General features: G+C 37.5%; 1 protein-coding gene and 1 long non-coding RNA gene across 25 annotated transcripts in view, besides 1 other annotated feature; one reads left to right on the top strand and one right to left on the bottom strand.

Annotated features, from left to right (window-relative positions):
• The window catches only part of GPHN (gephyrin), a 1,227,209-nt gene that overhangs the window by 609,752 nt on the left and 596,563 nt on the right, over positions 1 to 20,894 (bottom strand). For 22 of the 23 annotated variants that reach the window (XM_011536340.4, XM_017020913.3, XM_011536343.4 and 19 more), the window contains 4 exons: positions 15,345 to 15,464; positions 13,685 to 13,743; positions 12,433 to 12,586; positions 3,227 to 3,348 (listed from right to left, as the gene is read on the bottom strand). The exons of the other annotated variant lie outside the window; for it this stretch is intronic. In XM_011536340.4, coding sequence (XP_011534642.1) covers positions 3,227 to 3,348; positions 12,433 to 12,586; positions 13,685 to 13,743; positions 15,345 to 15,464 — 455 coding nt within the window. The remainder of the gene's footprint in view (positions 1 to 3,226; positions 3,349 to 12,432; positions 12,587 to 13,684; positions 13,744 to 15,344; positions 15,465 to 20,894) is intronic. 23 annotated transcript variants of the gene reach the window in all.
• The window catches only part of LOC105370538 (uncharacterized), a 116,677-nt gene that overhangs the window by 63,761 nt on the left and 32,022 nt on the right, over positions 1 to 20,894 (top strand). For both annotated transcript variants that reach the window (XR_007064215.1, XR_001750990.2), the window contains exon 3: positions 17,142 to 17,230. This is a non-coding gene — a long non-coding RNA (uncharacterized LOC105370538). The remainder of the gene's footprint in view (positions 1 to 17,141; positions 17,231 to 20,894) is intronic.
• Positions 17,122 to 17,171: an enhancer, noted in NCBI's record as "active region_8575". NCBI's record gives its function as "activates an Ori minimal core promoter by ATAC-STARR-seq in GM12878 lymphoblastoid cells {active_cell/tissue: GM12878}" and the evidence as "EXISTENCE:reporter gene assay evidence [ECO:0000049][PMID:35858748]".

Below are 20,894 nucleotides of genomic sequence, written 5' to 3'. Positions count from 1 at the left end.
GGGTTCGCCACGTTGGTCAGGCTGGTCTCCAGCTCTTGATCTCAGGTGATCCGCCCGCCTTGGCCTCCCAAAGTGCTGGGATTATAGGCGTGAGCCACTGCACCTCGCCCTTATTGACATTCTTGAGCTATTTCTCTCCCTGCTTTAAACCTAGGGTACAGTTTCTCCCATGACTCTGCTTGTTTCCCTGGAGAGCTTTACCCAGATGCTTCTGTGTGACAATATTTGCTTTCCTTAGCAAATGGCTGAATAGGATGAAGAAGAATGAAGGAGGGTAGCCTTCACAGAATATCAATAGGCTGTAGATTAAATACCTTGTTTTCTTTGCTAAACTCCCAGCACAGATTTCCATTAGAACAATTATAAATTCTTTCCTCCCACATTCCACCTCTGCATTCTACACCATTCACTCTGGACCCCTTCAATATAGCACTCTAAGACTAAGAAAGCCTAGATTTGCATCAATTTCTTTTTTTTTTAAATTGTTCTCAGTTTGATATAAGGTATTACTATTCAAGAAAAGGGTATACACTAGAGATTTGTACATTCACTGAATTGCCTTAACCTGTTTATAGTTTTGTTGTTCTTTATACTGTTTTCAAAGTATATTTTGGAGTTAAATGCAATATCACCATTATTAGGAAATGTCCACCACAAATTAACAGTGTGGATCCCAGAAAAATATCAGCATACCAACATGTTGGCCTTTCAATGATGTTTTGGCCTTTAGAGTACTTCAAGATAATGGCAGTATATACAGTATATTAAGTAACCTCTTTAAAAAAAAAAGTATAACAGTAAGAGGGAGAATGGGCAGAATTATAGTCCAGAACAAATTAGGGTAAAAACAATTTAAAAGCTCCCTTTTTCCTTATACTATTTCTTAGAGCTCATTAACGCACTTAGAGGTAGGGCCAGAGCCATTGGTAGGAGGGAAATAACCCTAAGAATCTGGTGTTTGTTCCATGAAGTTTCAAGCCTGCTTGCCTTATCTTTGTGTTTTCAAACTCTTGGATTTATCACTTCTCTTCTCAGAAGTTGATTTTGGTCTTTGGAAAAGCTGTATCTGGATAGGATAGTTTTTAAGTACTTGTATCTTAAAGGATAGGTTACTGCTAAGGCCCAAATTCAAATAACTGGCTTTTTCCCCCCTTTCCTTCCTGTACACTGGCTTTACTTTCCCTTCTTAGGACGAGGGGCCCTGGAGTCTCGCTTTGTTGCCCAGGCTGGAGTGCAATGGTGCAGTCTCAGCTCACTGCAACCTCCACCTCCCGGGTTCAAGTGATTCTCCTGTGTTAGCCTCCCGAGTAGCTGGGATTACAGGTGCGCACCACTACCCCCAGCTAATTTTCATATTTTTAGTAGAGACAGGGTTTCACCATGTTGGCCAGGCTGGTCTCAAACTCCTGACCTCAGGTGATCCACCTGCCTTGGCCTCCCAAAGTGCTGGGATTACAGGTGTGAGCCACCACTCCTGGCCAAACTTCTTTAGAGCTAAACATCCATGCAAATACAAATGGTGAAGATTTTAAAAAGAATGACATTTGAAAATACACCAGCTTCCACTCCAGTGTCCTCAGAGAAAGAAAAAAAAATCAGGAGGAAAGAAGAGAACTTCAAAAGGTTAGATGACATAAAAGCTACTACCTTTCAGGTTACTGGCAAGATGCTTGTGTCCAAGGTTTAGACCAGGGGTGTTCAATCTTTTGGCTTTCCTGGGCCACATCAGAAGAAGAATTGTCTTGGGCCACACATAAAATACATTAATGATAGCTAATGAGCTAAAAAAAAAAATCGCAAAAAAATCTCATAATGTTTTAAGAAAGTTTATGAATTTGTGTTGGGCTACATTCAAAGCTGTCCTGGGTTGTACGTGGTCCATGGGCCACGGGTTGGAGAAGCTTAATTTGTTTACTTATTTATTTTTTGAGACAGAGTCTCACTCTGTTTCCCAGGCTGGGGTGCAGTGTTACGATCTCAGCTCACTTCAACCTCCGCCCCCCAGGCTCAAATGATTCTCATGCCTCAGCCTCCCGAGTAGCTGGGATTACAGATGTGTACCACCACACCTAGGCAATTTTTCTATTTTGTAGTAGAGATGGGGTTTCTCCATGTTAGTCAGACTGGTCTCCAACTCCTGGCCTCAAGTGATCCACCCGCCTTGGCCTTCCAAAGTGCTGGGATTACAGGCGTGAGCCACTGTGCCTGGCCTGGACAAGCTTAGGTTAGACTATGTCCAGTGTGAGCCTAAGATAAAGTTCACAGCATGCCTTGTCAGATCCTACCTTGTGAATGGTAGGTCAGAACCTCTTCAAAAGCACATCTGAGTTTTGGGAAAGTACTCAACATAAGGGAAGAAGGATCCATGCTTAATGAGGTCTACACAGTGATGAGGTAGTGATAAGAGAGAAAGGGGATTATGGGTGATAGATACATCATGAGTATTTATCACTCAGATCTGTCTCTGAGCCTTGTCTCCATTGGGTTGATATTTGAGTATTACTAAAAGCAGGTGTAGCTCTAGTGAAATGGAAAGGGTGACTTTTGAAAGACAGCCAGGCAGCAGTGTTGCATGATACTAGGATGTTTAGAAAGTGTAGACTTGCTTTTGATCACACATGAGACAGCACTGGAGATTCACAGAAATACTTAGAAAACTTAGCAGAGGGCTGAGTTAATTCAGTAGATGGGGGTAATAGGCTCTTAAAAATTGAGTAATTATAGTCATTGTGCTTCCCTTTGTACTTTCAAGTAGGTAAAGCCTGGAGAAACAGGTTACATAAAGACACAAAAATCAATATAGAAGTCCTAGAAAAAAATTGTACTTAAATTTCAAAGAATTAGGTAGTGCTACTTTTGACAATCTCTCTTTCTCTTCTTACCTATGCTTTTCCTGTCTTTCTTGAAAGAAGTAAAAATGTGCATCAGAATAATGCCATCACTGTTAGCTCCATTGGGATAAAACCAAAACTATTACAAAAACATCCTTTGAAACCTAACATACTACAGGAAAGTAAAGTATTTCTCTTGTTTTCAGAGACATTCCAAGAAATCTTTATCTCTAAAGGACATAGATACCTCAATATTCTTTGGCTTCTGAAGAATGAGATAAGTGAAAATTATGACATTAAATTTCTGTCTCTTTAGCAGCAACTCCACCTAATGAGTATTCCAAAAACTCGTATTTGTACAATACAAACTTTTCAGAATGACATCAAATACTTACTTGTCTCCTACAATACCCAAGTTGATCGTGGGGTAACCATGTTCCTGAATTGTTGCTAGAAGAGTTGAACGATTGCTGTCTCGAATCTTCCCTGGTAAGAGGTCATCTTCAGGATTTAGCAGCTACAAAGCCAAAAAACCACCACAAATTATTCTATTAGGTTAATGTTGCATATTTCTAATGAAAAAAAAATCTACTAAACTGAGTTTAGCATATCTAGCACCTACAATGGTATCTGGCATTTTGAAGGTGAATGCCCAAAGGATCTTTAAATAAATATTGAAAGTATAGGAGGATGAGAAAATGTTCCTATGGAAGTCAAAAAACACTCTGAAATTTCACTGGCGATTGAACTGCATGCAAAATATCCCACCAGGTTGGGCTCCAATTTGATAATAATGCTCTGGAGATACTGGCCAAACTAAATAAAACAATTATCTTTTTTTCTCCCAATATTATTTTCCAATTTGTCTTCCATTGGGAATATTTGAGGTATAGATTGTGTGACATGATATCCTTAAGTCTGAACAGAATAATAGTTTATCTTTTCTTTCAAACTTTTTTGTCTCTTTTCTGAAGTGGGGTCAACAGTATCAAAGAAGCTAAGCTTATGTGAAGGAGAGGAAGACAGATGTTTTGTCTCTGATACTAGCAAACTTAAGTAATACTTAGCTACATGTATGCACAATTCCATTATTCTGAACTGAATTAATCTTTAGAGATTTAATATCTACTATGTCTACGAAGAAAATTAACGAAGCTTATTCTACCTTAGGATGTTCCAATGAGGTAGTCAGATTGTAGAGTAGGAAGAGCTTTGGATTCCAACAGGGTTCAAATTCAAGTTGACAAAATTCTTTGTCGTAATTTTCTCATTTATAAAATATAGTAATAATAACTACCTTGCAAGGTAATTGTTAGGAGTGAGATAATGAACATTCAGTTTATGCAGATAAATGTACAATAAATGTGATTCTCTTTCCTTTCTTTATGACATATGACGTCAAAGGATCACCTACTTTCCTCCCAATTGTTCTCATATTGTTACCCCTAGATGCTAGTACAGATGACATCAGTTTATAATGTGAACATAGACTATTAGATTATAAAATACCTAAGAGTAGGGGGTCCTTCACATACACAGATACATTCTTACAACAATTTATGTATCAGTTTTAAGATATGCTTTGATTTCAGAAATTATAAAGTAAAAAAAGAAGTACTTACTTGAAGTGAGAAAACCTGGACTATTATTTTAGGAGGTTAAAGGCAAGCCTGCACATTTAAGATGTTTTAGCTACTAATATGGCCAACACCAGAGCTTATTATATGAATTCTCCCAGACAATAACCACAAGTCCTAATCTTCCTTCAGACTCATTAGTGATAGTATGTGGCCAGATTTTTGACTTTATATTGGAAAAGTAGTAGCTTTGCAACCAACTGTCCCCTTACAATAGGCTACAGGAAAACTGTGACCATCTTATTCAGTGTCACCAGGGAGTCTTCCCTTCGAATACTTACTAATTTAACTTAATCAGATGCCATGTGACATTGTAACCCACTTTCATTCTTACTCCCTGGCAGTACTTGGAAAATTGCTACTGCAATGCTAACATAGATTAATTTTCTGATCTTAATTAACACAGTTATTAAAGTGATTATAATTTTATAAGGGGCAAGGCTTGCAGCTCTTTAACTCCATTAATCAAACTAGTTGCTTTAGAAAGAAAAATGTGTGATTATATCATTTTTTTCAAAGCAGGGTATTGACCACGAACTAAGTAAGATTCCTCTGTTATCAGGGTGTTTTCTTTGCTATTTATGTTCCTCTCTGTTATTTTGCTGCAAACAGTTCCAGAAATAACGGAAAATTAGAGATCACTGGAGAACCCATTATTTGTCTGTAAAACTGACATAACGAAAAAATAGCTAGTTAAATGAGGGTGTGGGATTTACAGTGTATTTTAAATAATTTCAAATAAAACAATACAGAATTAAATGGAAGAGTATAAGGCTAAATATACTAGAATAAACTCACAATTTTTCCTTTTAAAACTGAATCTTATTTTCTGTTATACTTCCAGTCATCTTGGGAATGATGTCTGAAATTTATTACAGTTTCAAAAGAAAAAAATATGAGGTAAAACAAAACATAACCCATCATCTCCATATCAAGTCACCAAGTTCAATTTCCCATTTTTGGTATTATCAATGGTACCACTATCTTCCCACCTCTTTTTTTTTTTTTTTGAGATGGAGTCTTATTCTGTTGCACAGGCTGGAATGCAGTGGCGCAATCTCAGCTCACTGCAACCTCCACCCCCTGGGTTCAAGCGATCTTCCTACCACAGCTTCCTATCTGGGACTACAGGCGCACACTACCATGCCTGGCTAATGTTTGCATTTTTAGTAGAGACGGGGGTTTGCCATGTTGGCCAGGCTGGTCTTGAACTCCTGACCCCAAGTGATTCACCTGCCTCAGCCTCCCAAAGTGCTTGGATTAGAGGTGTGAGCCACCATACCTGGCCACTATCTTCCCACTTTTTAAACATTAAACTTTTTTGTTGTTGTTTGTTTTTGTTTTTGAGACAGCATCAAGCTCTTGTTGCCCAGGCTGGAGTGCAATGGCGTGATCTCGGCTCACTGCAACCTCTGCCTCGTGGGTTCAAGCGAGTCTCCTGCCTCAGCCTCCCGAGTAGCTGGGATTACAGGCATGCGCCACCACGCCCGGCTAATTTTGTATTTTTAGTAGAGATGGTGTTTCTCTACTGTTGGTCAGGCTGGTCTCAAACTCCTGACCTCAGGTGATCCGCCCACCTCGGCCTCCCAAAGTGCTGGGATTACAGGCGTGAGCCACTGCGCCTGGCCTAAACATTTAACTTTGTTTTCCCCTTTGTAGCCCACTCTTCCCAAAAGCCTCAATCATTAAGAATATTCTAATCCATCTCTTCCTTGACCCTACATTTTCATTCACTCTTTTACTACCTCCCAAAACAATTCTAGACATTCATTACATTATGTCTGAATTTCTGTGAAAGCCTTATAATTGGCTGCCTTGCCTACAAACTATTTCCTTCTGAGAAATAAAACAGAAACATCAACTTGCAAAACTATACCATTATTTGCATAACAGCTAAACTGTACCAAACCAGGACATGTAACTTGAAATAAATTGTTTTTAACACAAGCTTGTTCAGATCCATATACTTTAAGATAAGATCATGGACAACTTGTTTTAACAGTAGTTCCACATGGATTCATATGCTCTGAAGATAAGACTGACTGTGATCCACCAATTCACCTATTTTACAAATTCCGACCAATCTCTGCTCGGACTTTGCTTAATAACTTCTACCTTAAAACTATCCCATGGCCAACCCTAGTCCTCAAAATCCTATAAATACCCTCATAAAAATCTTATGACTTCCCAGTTGTGAAACACCACTGAGACTCTGTTGAAGGGTAGCAGAATATACTACCCCAAAATATGCCAGCATAACAAATATTTTTTAGCCGAAGGCACTTGAGAAGAAAAATATAAGAAACGCTCTCTGCTTTTCTCCTGTTTGCCTAAAAGTAGGACATAAATTAAGAAAGGTAACTCCCCCCGCGACCCCTGGAGGGATGAATCTTTTTTTTTTTTTGAGACGGAGTCTCGCTCTGTCGCCCTGGCTGTAGTGAGTGCAGTGATGCGATCTCGGCTCACTGCAAGCTCCGCCTCCCGGGTTCACGCCATTCTCCTGCCTCAGCCTCCCGAGTAGCTGGGATTACAGGCCCTCGCCACCACACCCGGCTAATTTTTTTGTATTTTTAGTAGAGTAGGGGTTTCACCGTGTGTTAGCCAAGATGGTCTCAATTTCCTGACCTTGTGATCCACCCGCCTAGGCTTCCCAAAGTGCTTGAATTACAGGCGTGAGCCACCGCGCCTGGCCCGAGGGATAAATCTTTGGACACTTATCAGCCTGCAGATGGCGCCAGAGGAATTTATATATCAAACTTTATTAACTAGCCTTTAATCTATCATTAGTTTCCCATATATTTGCCTTCCCACAAATTGCCGGCCCTAGAGACTCAAGGTCCTTTGTCTCATCACTTCTCTAAGAATGTACTGTTCTTTGCTGAAGATGCTATTTAAGCCAGACTTCTCAGCCATCACTTTAGGAGTTACTAATTTTCCCTTGGGTATGTCCCATATATACACGAGGTATACATGTTAACTAACTTCTCTTTTTTTCTTGTTAATCTATCGTTTATAGAGGTCCCAGGTAAGAACTCACAAGGGTAGAGGAAAAATTATTTTTCCCTCCCCAACATTGTCAAGGTGATGTTTTCTTTTTCTCAGAAACTTTAATATAACCATTTTGTATGATCAACAGGTTTCCCTGGTGGTCTTTGTATTAGGATTTTGGTATTATGAAAATCCTACCAAGACTTAGGCAGGAACTCTTGCCACCAGTTATATTATTGGTTATACTGTATTTCAGTGAGGTCTCTTCTGCCTTTTTGCTTGGGCAGATTCCTTGTCTATGATGCTTAGATTAACTCCAGCCCTTGTTTTGAGGTCTGATCGTTTTTTTGCTGAACTCCCAAAGACAGCTGATATTGTTTTTGTTATAAGGTTTCCAGAATTGTTTGGTTATCTGATTGGATTTATACTAATTTTTGTTTTTCTTAGTAAAGATTTGAAACTGGCCATCCTATCTGTCAGTTGGCCACATTGTTGTGTGCCTATAAGAACTTTTCTTAGTTTTGTCTATGAGAAACTGGCTTTGGGAGAGATTTCCTCTCTACCCATTCTAGCTTGTTAGGTTTCAGGGTTAGCTGCCAGGGGTTCAACCTTTACTGTTGAGGACTTTAGGTACAATATTTAAGTGCTATTTTTCCCTTTTGAATGACCAGTAGCTAATGAATTCATGGGTTCATTTAATAATAAACTTGCACTATCTCCAGGCATAACTCTGGCTTCTGTTTTCTCTTTCACACATTTATCTTTCTAAAAAGCATAATTTCATCAAGGACAACCTGGAATTGCAGTGGTCATTTTGAAGTACTTTTGATATGACTACAATTATTCACTTGAAAGTACTTTTAAAGACTTAATTAATCCTATAGTCTTGATGGAATTATCAAGTGCCCAAGATACTATTTGAACTGGTTGTAATGACTTCCTTTCTTTCTCATGTATTGAAATGGGTTTGCTTGCATTTAAGGCTTTCCCACTCTTTGCAAAGAGAAGGTGATTTGACTTTTATAGTGGTCAGTAACTCTTTACATATTTGTGGTAATCATCTCACTTTCTTTCTCTGTCTTCTAGAAAACTTAATCTATTAATTGATCAAAACTCAATTCTTGTTATTATGGATACACCCAGATAGTTCAGATACATAGGTCTAACACAAAAAGAGGGAGAAAAGTCAATGAGCTCTCATGAAGAATGTTCCTGTTGCAAATAGCTTTTAACACAACTCTGGGGAAAAAAAGGTTTAACTGATCGTTAAGCTAATTGCCTGGCTTACTAGGTTACAAGATAAGAAGGGAAGAGAAACATTTAGATCTTTTAAACAATTTAAGGAGTCTTTAAGAATTTGGTTTAGAAATACAGAGGTTTACAAATTGTATTAGAAAATAATTAATATAATATTTCCATTAAGATGACTCTGGACAGATTTGATTGGCTTAAAACCTGTCCTGTGAAGTGGCTATGGTAGCATAAGCCTGTAGTCTCAGCTACTTGGGAAGCTGAGGTGGGAGGATCACTTGAGCTTAGGAGTTTAAGGCCAGTCTGGGCAAAATGGCGAGACTCTTTCTTTCTTTTTTGGATTATGAATGAGTTTTCTTTTTCTATTTTTTAAACATTTTTCATTTCAATAGATTTTTGGGGAACAGGTGGTATCTGGTTACATGAATAATTTATTTAGTGGTAATTAGTGAGATTTTGGTGCACCCATCTCCTAAGCAGTCCTGCCCTGCCCTCCCCTCCTTTCCTTGTTTCTTTTCTTTTCTCTCTTTTCTTTTTGCTTCCCCTTCCCCTTTTTCTTTTCCTTCTGTTTCTTTCTTTCTTTTTCTTTCTTTCTTTCTTTTTCTTTTCTTTCTTTCTTTTTCTTTTCTTTCTTTGTCTCACTCTGTTTCCCAGGCTGTAGTACAGTGGAATGGTCATTGCGCACTGTAACCTCTGCCTCAGCCTCCTGAGTAGCAGACACTACAGGGGCATAGCATCATGCCTGGCTTGTATTTTTTGTAGAGACAGGGTTTTGCCATGTTGCCCAGGCTGGTCTCAAACTCCTAGCCTCAAGTGATCTACCCATCTCGGCCTCCCAAAGTGCTGGGATTACAGACATGAATCACCACAGGTTGCATATCTAAATTTTAATATGCACAGTTTGTTGAAATCAACGAATACAGAAATCAGCTATTCCATGTTAGCTATAGTTGATAACTCTATATCCCCAATTTTGAAATAATTTGCTGGTCCTTAACAAGCTCATACAGTAATAAAATACTGGGGCAAGTTTTAGAGTATACATAGACATCTTGTACGGCACTCTTTGGGTTGCCAAGGCAACTGTCCTGCTTACCAATATGTCATATGAGATTCAAGAAGTGGACATATGTGAAACCATATATATCTTTTTTTTTTTTTTGAGATGGAGTCTCTCTCTCTCACCCAGGCTGGAGTGCCGTGGCACGATCTCAGCTCACTGCAACCTCCGCCTCCCGGGTTCAAGCAATTCTTCTGCCTCAGCCTCCCAAGTAGTTGTGACTACAGGCATGTGCCATCACACCCAGCTAATTTTTTTGTATTTTTAGTACAGACAGGGTTTCACCATGTTGGTCAGTCTGGTCTCGAACTCCTGACCTCAAGCGATCCTCCCGCCTTGGCCTCCCAAAGTGCTGGGATTACAGGTGTGAGCAACCATGCCCGGCCTGAAACCATATGTATCAAAGGAAACTAAAACCAATACTTAAGGAAAGTTTGTACTGTGACTGGGTAAATTATGGCCTTGCTACATTAAGTGCAATTTCTTTTGCCCTCTCTGAAAATAGGTAATTTTTTTTTTGCTATTGTTTTCTAGGTATCTGAGAATTTCAAGCCTTCTGGAGAGATAATATGCTTTATTTATCTCTTTTTTTTTTATCACCAATTTCCAGTAAAGTGCCTGGCACAGAGGTACCCAATTATCTGCTGAACAAAACTAAACTATATGATCATAGAGTCATAATAAAAACTAACTTTGAATAAGAGAAAGGGAGGAATGTTGAGCTATATGGAACCAGAGATAATATAATTTAGAAGCATTATTCTCTTGGAAAACTGTGGTATAGTTTAGTATAGCAGGTCTGTTAAAGTAGGGGAATAAGTCATGTAGAATTAGTCAAAGCTTCTTCAAGAGTAATAAGCTCTGTGGGGGCAGGGAACTAAGACTACAAACTCTTCCCTAGATTTCATGATATAATACCATCTCTATTCTCACCCCATTACCTTAGCCTACTTCCAGTAAATAGTTTTAATTGAGTGTAAAAGGTAGCTTAAACAAAACACTAACAATATACTCTGTGGATAATTGAGAGGATGAGTCCAGACCTACAAAAGCATGAGAGAGAAATATAAGCAATATCGCTTAAACAGAGTTTCCTATTAACTAAATAGTTATTATGAGTGTGTTAATTCTTATTTTACTTTATTGTGAGATAGGGTCTCACTCTGTCACCCAGGCTAAAGTGCAGTAGTGCCATCATAGCTCACTGCAGCCTTGAATTCTTGAGCTCAAGTGATCCTCCCACCTCAGCCTCCTCAGTAGCTAGGACTATAGGCATGTGCTACCATGCATAGCTATTTTTAATTTTTTAGTAGAGGCAGGGTCCCGCTATGTTGCCCAGGCTGGTTTTGAACTCCTAGCCTCAATTGATCCCCCTGCTTCAGCCTCCCTAAATGCTGGGATTACAGGAATAAGCCACCATGCCTGGTCCATGAGTGTGCTACTGTTTAGCTTTCTCAAACTCCATGAACTTACTTGTTGCACAAAGCATGTAAGTATATCATAAAAAAGAATAGTTCACTGAGTCAACCAGTTTAACAAAAATTTATTTCTGATGCTATATATAGTGTTATTTGGTTCTAAGGATATTAAAATCATTACTATGTAGATCAAATTGAAAAGAATGTTTTTTGTCAATCAATAGTTTTTGGAAATGACTAGTGCATATATACTGGGAAGTAAGCACATCTGGAATGTTGATTTAGCTATCTATTTGCAAAATAAAACAGTCTATTCTTTTGCTTTAACCAAAAGGACTATAATGTCATAAAAAGACCTCTGAAAATTTTCATTTCCAAGACTTCAAGAAATTAAAAATAATGATGGGTTTATTTTCAGAACAAAGAGATTTTTAAAAAATCCCGCTAATCTTTTCTTTAATAGTAAGGTCAAAGGAATTATTAATACTTTTAAAAATCTCAATAGTTTCTGATTCTTTTATAAGGTTTTGAGTTTCCAGCAGATTCACTTTTTAGTATTCTCCATTTGACCTTGGAGCTTCTGACTGAAGTTTTGCACAACCTAAGCAAAACAAGCAATAGGAAGTTTTTCAAGAGTTCTCAGAAAGAGATGGACTAAATTCTCTTTTCTAAATCAGGAATGAAAAGACATTTTGACCCATTCTAAATATCATGCCACTAGAGATGCTATCTTTAGGGAGAGAGAGAGGAAAAAAAAAACCTGATTATCAAATCCCTCTTAGTGATTAAAGATCAAATGGAACTTTTCACAAGAAGTGCTAGCCATGATGTCCTGATTCATTGATACTTCCCACACAGAAGTAGCTCATCATTTCAGCAGCAGGATGGGCACAATTCATTGTCTAAACAGAAACAGTACTGAGTTTGTATAGTTTAATATCTATAGCTAGCAGCTAAAGTTTTTTGCTTATGTGTACTGACTTTGTGGAAAGGCCATTGGTTATAATATTTCATTCTAATAGAAGAGAACATTTCATAATACATAATTTTTACTAGTTCTTCTTTGTTCTCATATTCTGAACTTGAAACTATCCTAAAGCCAATTTATTGTTTCCCTGTTATAAGAATGTGGATCCACTGGTATGATCTATAATCTACAACATTCTATTTACAACACAGAACATATGTCAGAAATACCTTTATCTTATGGGCCCTCTCCCCACTCCCTCCATTTTTATTTTTAATACCTCATTCCCTGTTGACATGACTGCAACCACTGGAAACTTATTAACTTCAACCTCTGTGACACCTACAGTTGCCAGAAGACCAATCTCTGAGGGGCCCATGTGGGTTCCTTTGGCCAAAACACATTCCCCTCTTTTAATGTCATGGCCGATGGGTCTGAAAGTCAAAGCAGAACCATAAGCAGTGTGATTAGAGAACAACATTTTCTCAACTCAGAGGGAAACTTTAGTGTCAAAAAAGGACATTCAAGAAGACAAAAAAGTCTAGAAATAAAGTAGTAGGAAAACAATGAATTGAAGGGATTCTAAAAATCCTATGCTTTTTTAATTTTAAAAGTTAAATCACACAACAGAAAACAGAAATAGGATTTGAATGTATTACTGCTAAAGAAAAACATGTTACTTCATATTTGAAATTTTTTTTCATGAGTACCTGTGAATAAAATTACTTTACAAATTGTTTTATGTTACATTATAGTAAAAATACCAATTGTAAACTTTCTTTGATAAGGCAAGAATTTGTATGGCAATATCTAGCGGCATTAATGATAAGAGGTCCACAGCTGGCTAGCTTTGTCAAGGAGAATAATGCTAATGAGGCTACAGTCATAGAGGTAATTTCCATATGGACCACTTAGGTTGGTCCTGATCTGTGGCTACTGAGGTACATTAACCTTGGTGTGCTGCCATAGGGATGGGAGAAGTGTAGCTTCGTTACAAAGGGATGTTCAGCAAATTAGTATTAATGGAATCAGGGTAAACATATTCCATTTTAAGAAAAATAATTTAAGGTATATGCACTATTTATCATAGCAAATAGCCTCATCTTTGTATATAACAAGGAACAGATTATTCCATTATTATTGGTAGTCACTAGAGCATATGCTATTAGTTAATTGTGTAAATACCCAATTCTGGTATTATCTGAGTTGATACCAAATTCCAGATTATTTAGGGATGGGATTGGGTAATTCTGGATTATCTAGAAGTAGAATTAACTGTAGAATATGTAGGCTCATGACTTTACCTCTTTCTCATCTTGCTTTTGACTAACTCGCCTTTACCATCTTCATTAAAAAGTAGGCAGGGCAGATATGTGATACAGAATTCATAACATTCATTTTGCTTTTTGTTAAAGCCCTGAAAATTAATGGCTAACTGACATGGCTGCAGATTTATAGTAGCCAGGGTTTCCTGAGTAAATGATCATGTAGAAACAAAAGTAGGCTATATATTCTATGTGTTTTGAAGTTACCTGATATCTTGGCCTGGCCGAGCTTGCACCAGAATTCGCACTTCAAGTTCTTCAGTGCCCTATAATAACAGCCGGTCATGTAATTTCAAACAGAATTTCTGAGCAGTAGAATTTAGTTACTCCGATACTTTTACCATCAGATAGGCCCAGGATATATACAAATATAGACAAAAAGAAAACTATTTGCTACACCCTTTGAAAACACTGAATTTCTAACACAGGTTCCTGAAAAATTAGAAGGTTTGGTGCCAATAAATAAAAAATTTTTTTCTCCAATTTTTATGCTTTTAAAAAATGTACCAATTCAAATATTAAATCTTGTTTATAAGATTTAATATTTGAACTAATACATTATATAGAATTTGTTTATATATTTTTATATACATATGTAGGTGGCTACCCTAATAAAGTGAACGTGTGTGGAGGTAATATCTTCCTTCTTTTCCCATGAATCATGGGTTCAATACCATGCCAAGGTTACCAAATACTTGCAGAAATTTCAGTAAAGGACTTATAGTTTGCCTGGTAGTAGATTTCTGTCCATTAATTGCAGTAATCAATTTTACATTTATGGGCTGTGAATAATATTGTGACATTGGAACTGTGTCTTGTCATCTGGCAGAGTCTGTGGATGTATGTGTTCTGGAATTCAGTGCTTTGCTGGCTTCCCTGATGCCAATAAATCTGCTTAGGCAGTTTTAACAGCAGGCAATGTGATCTGTTTGCCAAGGGTTGAATTTTATAAGCCTTACATATGGAAAGGTGATTAAAAAGAAAATCTCCAGATCAGGGAAAGTGTCTGTCTCTTGGCATGGCCAATTTTACTATCTACTCGGCTTGGGAGAATATATGTTTATTTTTCACCTCAGCTTTAAAATATATCTTTACTTTCTTCATAAAACAAGTAAGAGAGCTGATTATTAAAACCTCAGTTGAATCTATTCTACTTTTATTACTGGCTTATACTCTGGTTTCAATAACCTGCCACTATTTTCAGTGAGATAAAGGCTTGCTTAGGTCCAAAAAGATTCCAGCATCTTTTACTTGAGGCAATGGAGGGAGAACTGACATACACTTAATATTTCCAGGCTGTCATTTGGTGGCACAGCTTTTTCCAGACTTACAGAAAACCAGAGGTGAAAGGGTCATTTGGTTCAAATGCTTGGCTTAGTGTAATATTCAAGAACTTGCCCAAGTGCTCTTTGTTAAATTCTTCTCTAGTAAATTCTGATTTCATGAACTCCTTGACATTTTATCAGAAGCTAGTCTCAATGGCAAATTTCTCAGCTGGAAGGTATGTCAACCATTAATATCTCTGCTCTGGAAGGTATGTCAACCATTAATATCTCTGCATTTCTTTCTTGAGGTACTTTCTTTCGTTGTTTGCATGTGAAACTGCTTGGGTCAAATATGATTCAAATTCTGCTATAACAGCAATGATCATAGAAACCCCTCCTGTAACAACAGATTTTCAAGATTAAGGAAATTTCTTATTTACTGGAGACTCATATACTACAATATAAGATCCCACCATAAGCAAAAACAAAACAAAACTAAACAACCCAAAAAACTGGGTTAATCTCACAAACACTGCAGAAAATGGTTGTGACATAATACTGCCATAGGAACAACAGCACAGTAAGACTTGGTGATGACGTACATCATCTGATTCCCTGATAAGTTCGGTATCTTCCACTTGTACTACTGCATCAGCACCGCAGGGTATTGGAGCACCTGTTGTAACCCGCATGACTTGTCCTGGCATTACTGTCTGAGTTGGCTGGAAATAAAGATGAAAAAGACAGTTGATGTACTTTGCTGCTGCAAAGGAAAAGTCTGCAGAGGATGTTAATTTTTTTAATATTAAAAAATAAACCATAAAAGAAAGTCTTACAGTCTTATTCATTTTGGGCCAGTGTAATAAAAGCTATCCACAAACAGGTGCACTCACACTAAAGGGGCTTTAGGTTCATTTAAGCTGATTTTATGTGTACTTTAAGGTAATGACTATTCGGTGTCTTGGTGCTCTGCTTTACTTTTGAAGAACTGCCATTTACATTTGCCACTTTTGCCTCTCAAATAATGTACATTTTCCTAATATATGTAAAGTGATTTGAGAGTCTGTAAGTAAAAAAATTGCTAGGACATACATTGTGAATAACAATTACAAAAAAAAATCTTCATAACTTATTGAAGTTCTAATGTTTGAGAAATGCAGTACTTTATTAACTAAACTTTTTGGTTAAATAAAGGCAAGCCAGAAATATTTTAATTATTGCCTTTGAAAATATTCTAAAACACATTAGCTCACCTATCAATTAATAATAGAGGTTGAGCAAATATAATTAAATCATTTAAAAATGATTCCAGTGTCTGTAATGACCTAGGTTAAACATTACTTTTGAAAATGAAAAACAAGATTTTCATTGTTTGTGCTCTCATATTGATGGTATAAGAGACAGAACCTTCCCTGCTAACTTCTTACAACATGAGGAAAAGCATTTTTCTGTAAGATTCATCTGATAGATTTGATCTGATAGAGAAGTGATCTGAAAGTCACTTGTCAGGGGCAATGATTTAGACTGGAGTTTGGAAAATGAATGCTTCAAATTCTCCCTAAGAAAAAATCCTGAGACAATATTAATCCCCCCTGCCAAAAGATTCCTTTCTAAAGATGTCTGCCTCATAAGTATAGTCACGTGCTGCATAAGGATAGTTTGCTCAATGTTGGACTGCATATATGATGGTGGTCCTATAAGATTACCATATTTTCTACTGTACTTTTTGTTTTGATAAACAAATACCATTATAATTGCTTACGTATTCAGTAATACTGTAATATGCTGTGCAGGTTTGTAGCCTCGGAGCTACAGGTCACACCATGTAGGCTAGGTGTGTAGTGGGCTACTCATGCAGGTTTGTGTAAGTACACTCTATGATGGTCGGACAACAAGAAAATTGCCCAACAACATATTTCTCAGAATATATCTTCATTAAGTAACTCATGACTCTATTTAAAATCTTAAGTCCCTACAATGTGAATATATTTACCACTACTGAACTATAAGCTTAAAAACTGTCAAGATGGTATATTTAATGTTATGTGTGTGTATGTTTTGTCATTGTTGTTATTTTAACCACCAAAATAAGACAAAGTAAAATAAACCACACACACACACACACACACACACACACACACACACACACCCCTTAGGGAATGGTTAAGAAAAAAAAATACCTTACTACTGAAAGTACAATCAAAGTAAAACAGGAAATTTATTACAAAAGTCTTAAAAATCTTCTCTCCATAATATTATTACTGTAAGCAATACTACCAATAACTAATATTTATTGAACCCACAATCTATGCTAGGTACAATGTTAAGTGCATTATATATTACAGAATATAAGCCTTACAAAGACAAAGATTTGTTTCATTTTCTGTTTGCCTCTCCAGATCACATCATCATTCTCTACTCTGTGCTGTGGTCCAGAAGCTGACCTCTATGGACTATTTTAACCAGTTTCCCACCACTTTGGCGTCTGGTGAGACTCAGCCAAAGGGAGGGGTCAGTAAGAGATGTAGAGGGTAGGAGAGAGACAGAAAAGTAGAGTTTTCATTCCCCTTGCTCTTTTCCTCCTGGGCTGCAGTTTGGTGATGGTTAGGGCATCTCTCCTACTGAGAGCAAGAGCTGCTGTTGGGCAGTCCTCTCCCACAGATATGAATCTTCCCAGGTTCAGGTACCATTGTCTTTCTTTGCTCCTTCAGACTAAGATGTGGTAAGGAAATCTCACTGTTGCTAGCTCCTGGGTGCTGCAGATTCCTTTATTGGTTTCCCTTAACTCCATCCAGACATTGGAGATAGTTTCTAATCTTCTTTAATCATCCTTTTTCCAGACATATTGCTCTGTTATGGCAAGGCTTAGAAAGTATGTTGCACACACTTTGCCAAGCTGAGCACCTACGCATCCCAGGCTGAGCTGATGTAGTCACTCATGTCCTAGGGAAACAGAGTGCTGATTGAGCCAAGATATCCTGACCTACAGGCCAAATAACTCTAGTACCCTGCTTCTCTGGAGCTAGACTATAGCCCCTTAGAGTCTGAGCTGCTGAGATACCCCCCTCTCTGGGGAGTTGAGTCATTTCTGTGTTGATCCTTGGCCCCCCCGGGGATCAAACCACAGCTGCGCTCTGCCATTCTAAGGTATCTGCTGCTTCTGCACCTGGCCTCAGAGTCTGAAGTGAGGACCTGCGTAGCCCCACCATCCAGGGGTCTAGGGTCACTACTACACAGTACCTTATCCACTGTGACCCGAGCTGCTGCTGAGCCCTACTGGCTCTGGTTCCTGAGCTGCGGCCATACCCTGCTCCCCTGGCCAAAACCTTTTTCTTTGGAGTTTGGTCAGTACTACACCCTACCCATGAGGTATAAAATCACAGGTACAACCAGGGCACCTGGGTCCAAGCTGCTAGGGGGTGCCTCAGTCATAAACCTTGGTTCTTTGGATAACCTACACCCAACTCTGCCACAGAGAGTGAACCTGAACCCCAAGAACCAGGTGCCACAATGGATTCACAAGACCCTGAGCCTTGGATCCTGGCTCCACAGTCACTCCAAGCACCATATTTTGAGCCCAGTGCCACTGTAGCTGCTTGGAGGGCATGTCAGACCTAACACCAAGAGGGATCCCTTCAGCTGATTCTCCCTATTGTGTGGAAAACAAGAAGAGGAGGACTCTAAAAGCCCTTGACACCAAGGATATTAACAGCCTATGCCACTACTACCACTGACACAAACTTCTATGGATTAGGCCACTGAGGTACTCACAGTTATTACTGACATTGAATGCAACTGAAAAAGCTGCAAGGAGACTACACCATTGCACCTGTCCAGAAAGTCACCATACCCTTTGCAACCAACACACTAAAGCCCAACTACAGGCGTCTCTACAAAACCACCCAGAAAGTCTGAAAGAAGCAAAAGTTCCACTAGGCACACAGATCAACATGGGGACACAAGAAACACAAAAAAGCAAGGAAATATGACACCACTAAAGGAATACATCTCTAGTAACAGACTCCAATGAAAAGGAAATCAATGAACTCCTGGAAAAGAAATTGCAAAATAATGATCTTAAGGAAACTCAATTAGATAAAACAAAAACAAAAACAAAAACAAAACCTAGCGATAATTCAACAAAATCAGCAAAACAATTCATAAGAATGATAAATTCAACAAAGATAGAGAAATCATAAAAAAGAACCAAACAGAAATCCTACAGCTGAATAATTCAAAAAATGAAATAAAAAATTACAATAGAGAGCTTCAATAGCAGTCTTGATAAAGCAGAAGAAAGAATCTTTGAACTGGAAGATAGGTTGTTTGAAATACCCAGCAAGAGAGAGAGACAGAGAGAAACAGAAGAATGAAAAAGAGTGAAGAAAGCTTGTAAGACTTATGGGACACCATACAAGAACAAATATTCATATTATTGGAGTTTCAGAAAAAAAGAAAGGAAAAGGCATAAGAAACTTATTTAATAAAATAATAGCTGAAAACTTCCCAAGTCTGGGGAAAGGTATGGATATCCAGGTCCAGGAATTCCAAAGGTCTCCAAATCAAGTCATATATAATGAAATCCACATTAGACTAACAGTAGATTTCTCTGCAGAAACCTTACAGGACAGGAAGAAAGGAGATAACATCTTCAAAGTGCTGAAATAAAAAAATTTCTAACTATGAATACTATATGCAGCAAAGCTATCCTTTGGAAATGAGGGAGAAATAGTCTTTCCCAGACAAGCAAAAATGGAGAGAATTCATTACTACTACACTGGCCTTACCATAAATTCTCAAGGGAGTCATATATCTGGAAGCAAAAAAGACAATAATCACTATCATAAAAACACACACAAGCATAAAACTCACTGGTAGACCAGATTAATAAAGGAGAAAGAGAAAAGAATAAAACAGTATCAATGTAGAAAACCACCCAACTGCAATGATAAACAATAAGAGAAGGAGCAAGGGGTAAGCAAAACCAGGAAACAATGAAATGACAGGAGTCCTCATCTATCAGTAATAACCTTAAATGTAAATAGATTAAATTCCGTAGTTAAAAGATACAGACAAGCTGAATGGATTTAAAAAAAAAGAACCCAACTATTTGCTGCCTACATGAGACTCACTTCACCTATACAGATATAGACTGAAAGTGAAGAAATGAATCAAGATATTTGATGCAAATGGAAACCAAAATCAGGTAAAAGTAGCCACATTTATACCAGATAAAATAGACTTTAAGTCAGAAACTGTAAAAAGAAATATGAGAGGTCATTCTATAATTATAAAGGGATCAATTTATCACAAGGATACAATAATCGCAAACATATATGCATTGAACATGGGATCACCCACTATAAAGCAGGTATTATTTATCTAAAAGGAGAGACAGATTCCAATACAATAATATTTGGGGAGTTTGACACCCTACTCTCAGCATTGGACAAGTCATATAGATAGAAAATCAACATAGGAACGCTGGATTTAAACTGCATTTTAGATCAAATGGACCTAACAGATATTTAAAGTACATTTCATCCAAGAGCTATAAAATACACATTTTTTTTTCACTTGCACATGGAACATTCTCCAGATAGACCATATTAGGCCACAAAAGAAGTCTCAACAAATTTAAAAGAACTAAAATTATATCGAATTTTTTTCCAACCACAATGGACTGAAACTATAAATCAATACAAGAGGAACATTCAAAATTGTACAAACATGTAGAAATTACAAAATATGCTCCCGAGCAACCAATGGATCAATAAATATATTAAGAGATAAATAGATTTCCCAAAACAAATGAAAATAGAAACACAGCAGACAAAAACCTATGGGATACAGCAAAAACAGCATTAAGAGGGAAGTTTATAGCAATAAACACCTACATCAAAACAGTAGAAAGATTTCAATGAAACAACATAGTGATATATCTCAAGGGATTAGAAAAGCAAGAACAAACCAGATCCAAAATCAGAAGAAGGAAAGAAAGAATACAGATAAGAGAAACAAATGAAATTGAGACTAAAAAACCACAAAAGATGAATGAAATTAAAGTTGACTTTATGCAAATATAAACAAAATTGACAAAGCATTAGCTAGACTAATAAAAAAAGACCCAAATAAGCAAAATCAGAAATGGA

Source organism: Homo sapiens, chromosome 14 (genome assembly GCF_000001405.40).
Source record: "Homo sapiens chromosome 14, GRCh38.p14 Primary Assembly".
In the NCBI taxonomy this organism is placed as follows: domain Eukaryota; kingdom Metazoa; phylum Chordata; class Mammalia; order Primates; family Hominidae; genus Homo; species Homo sapiens.
This window is presented reverse-complemented; position numbering and strand designations above follow the sequence as displayed.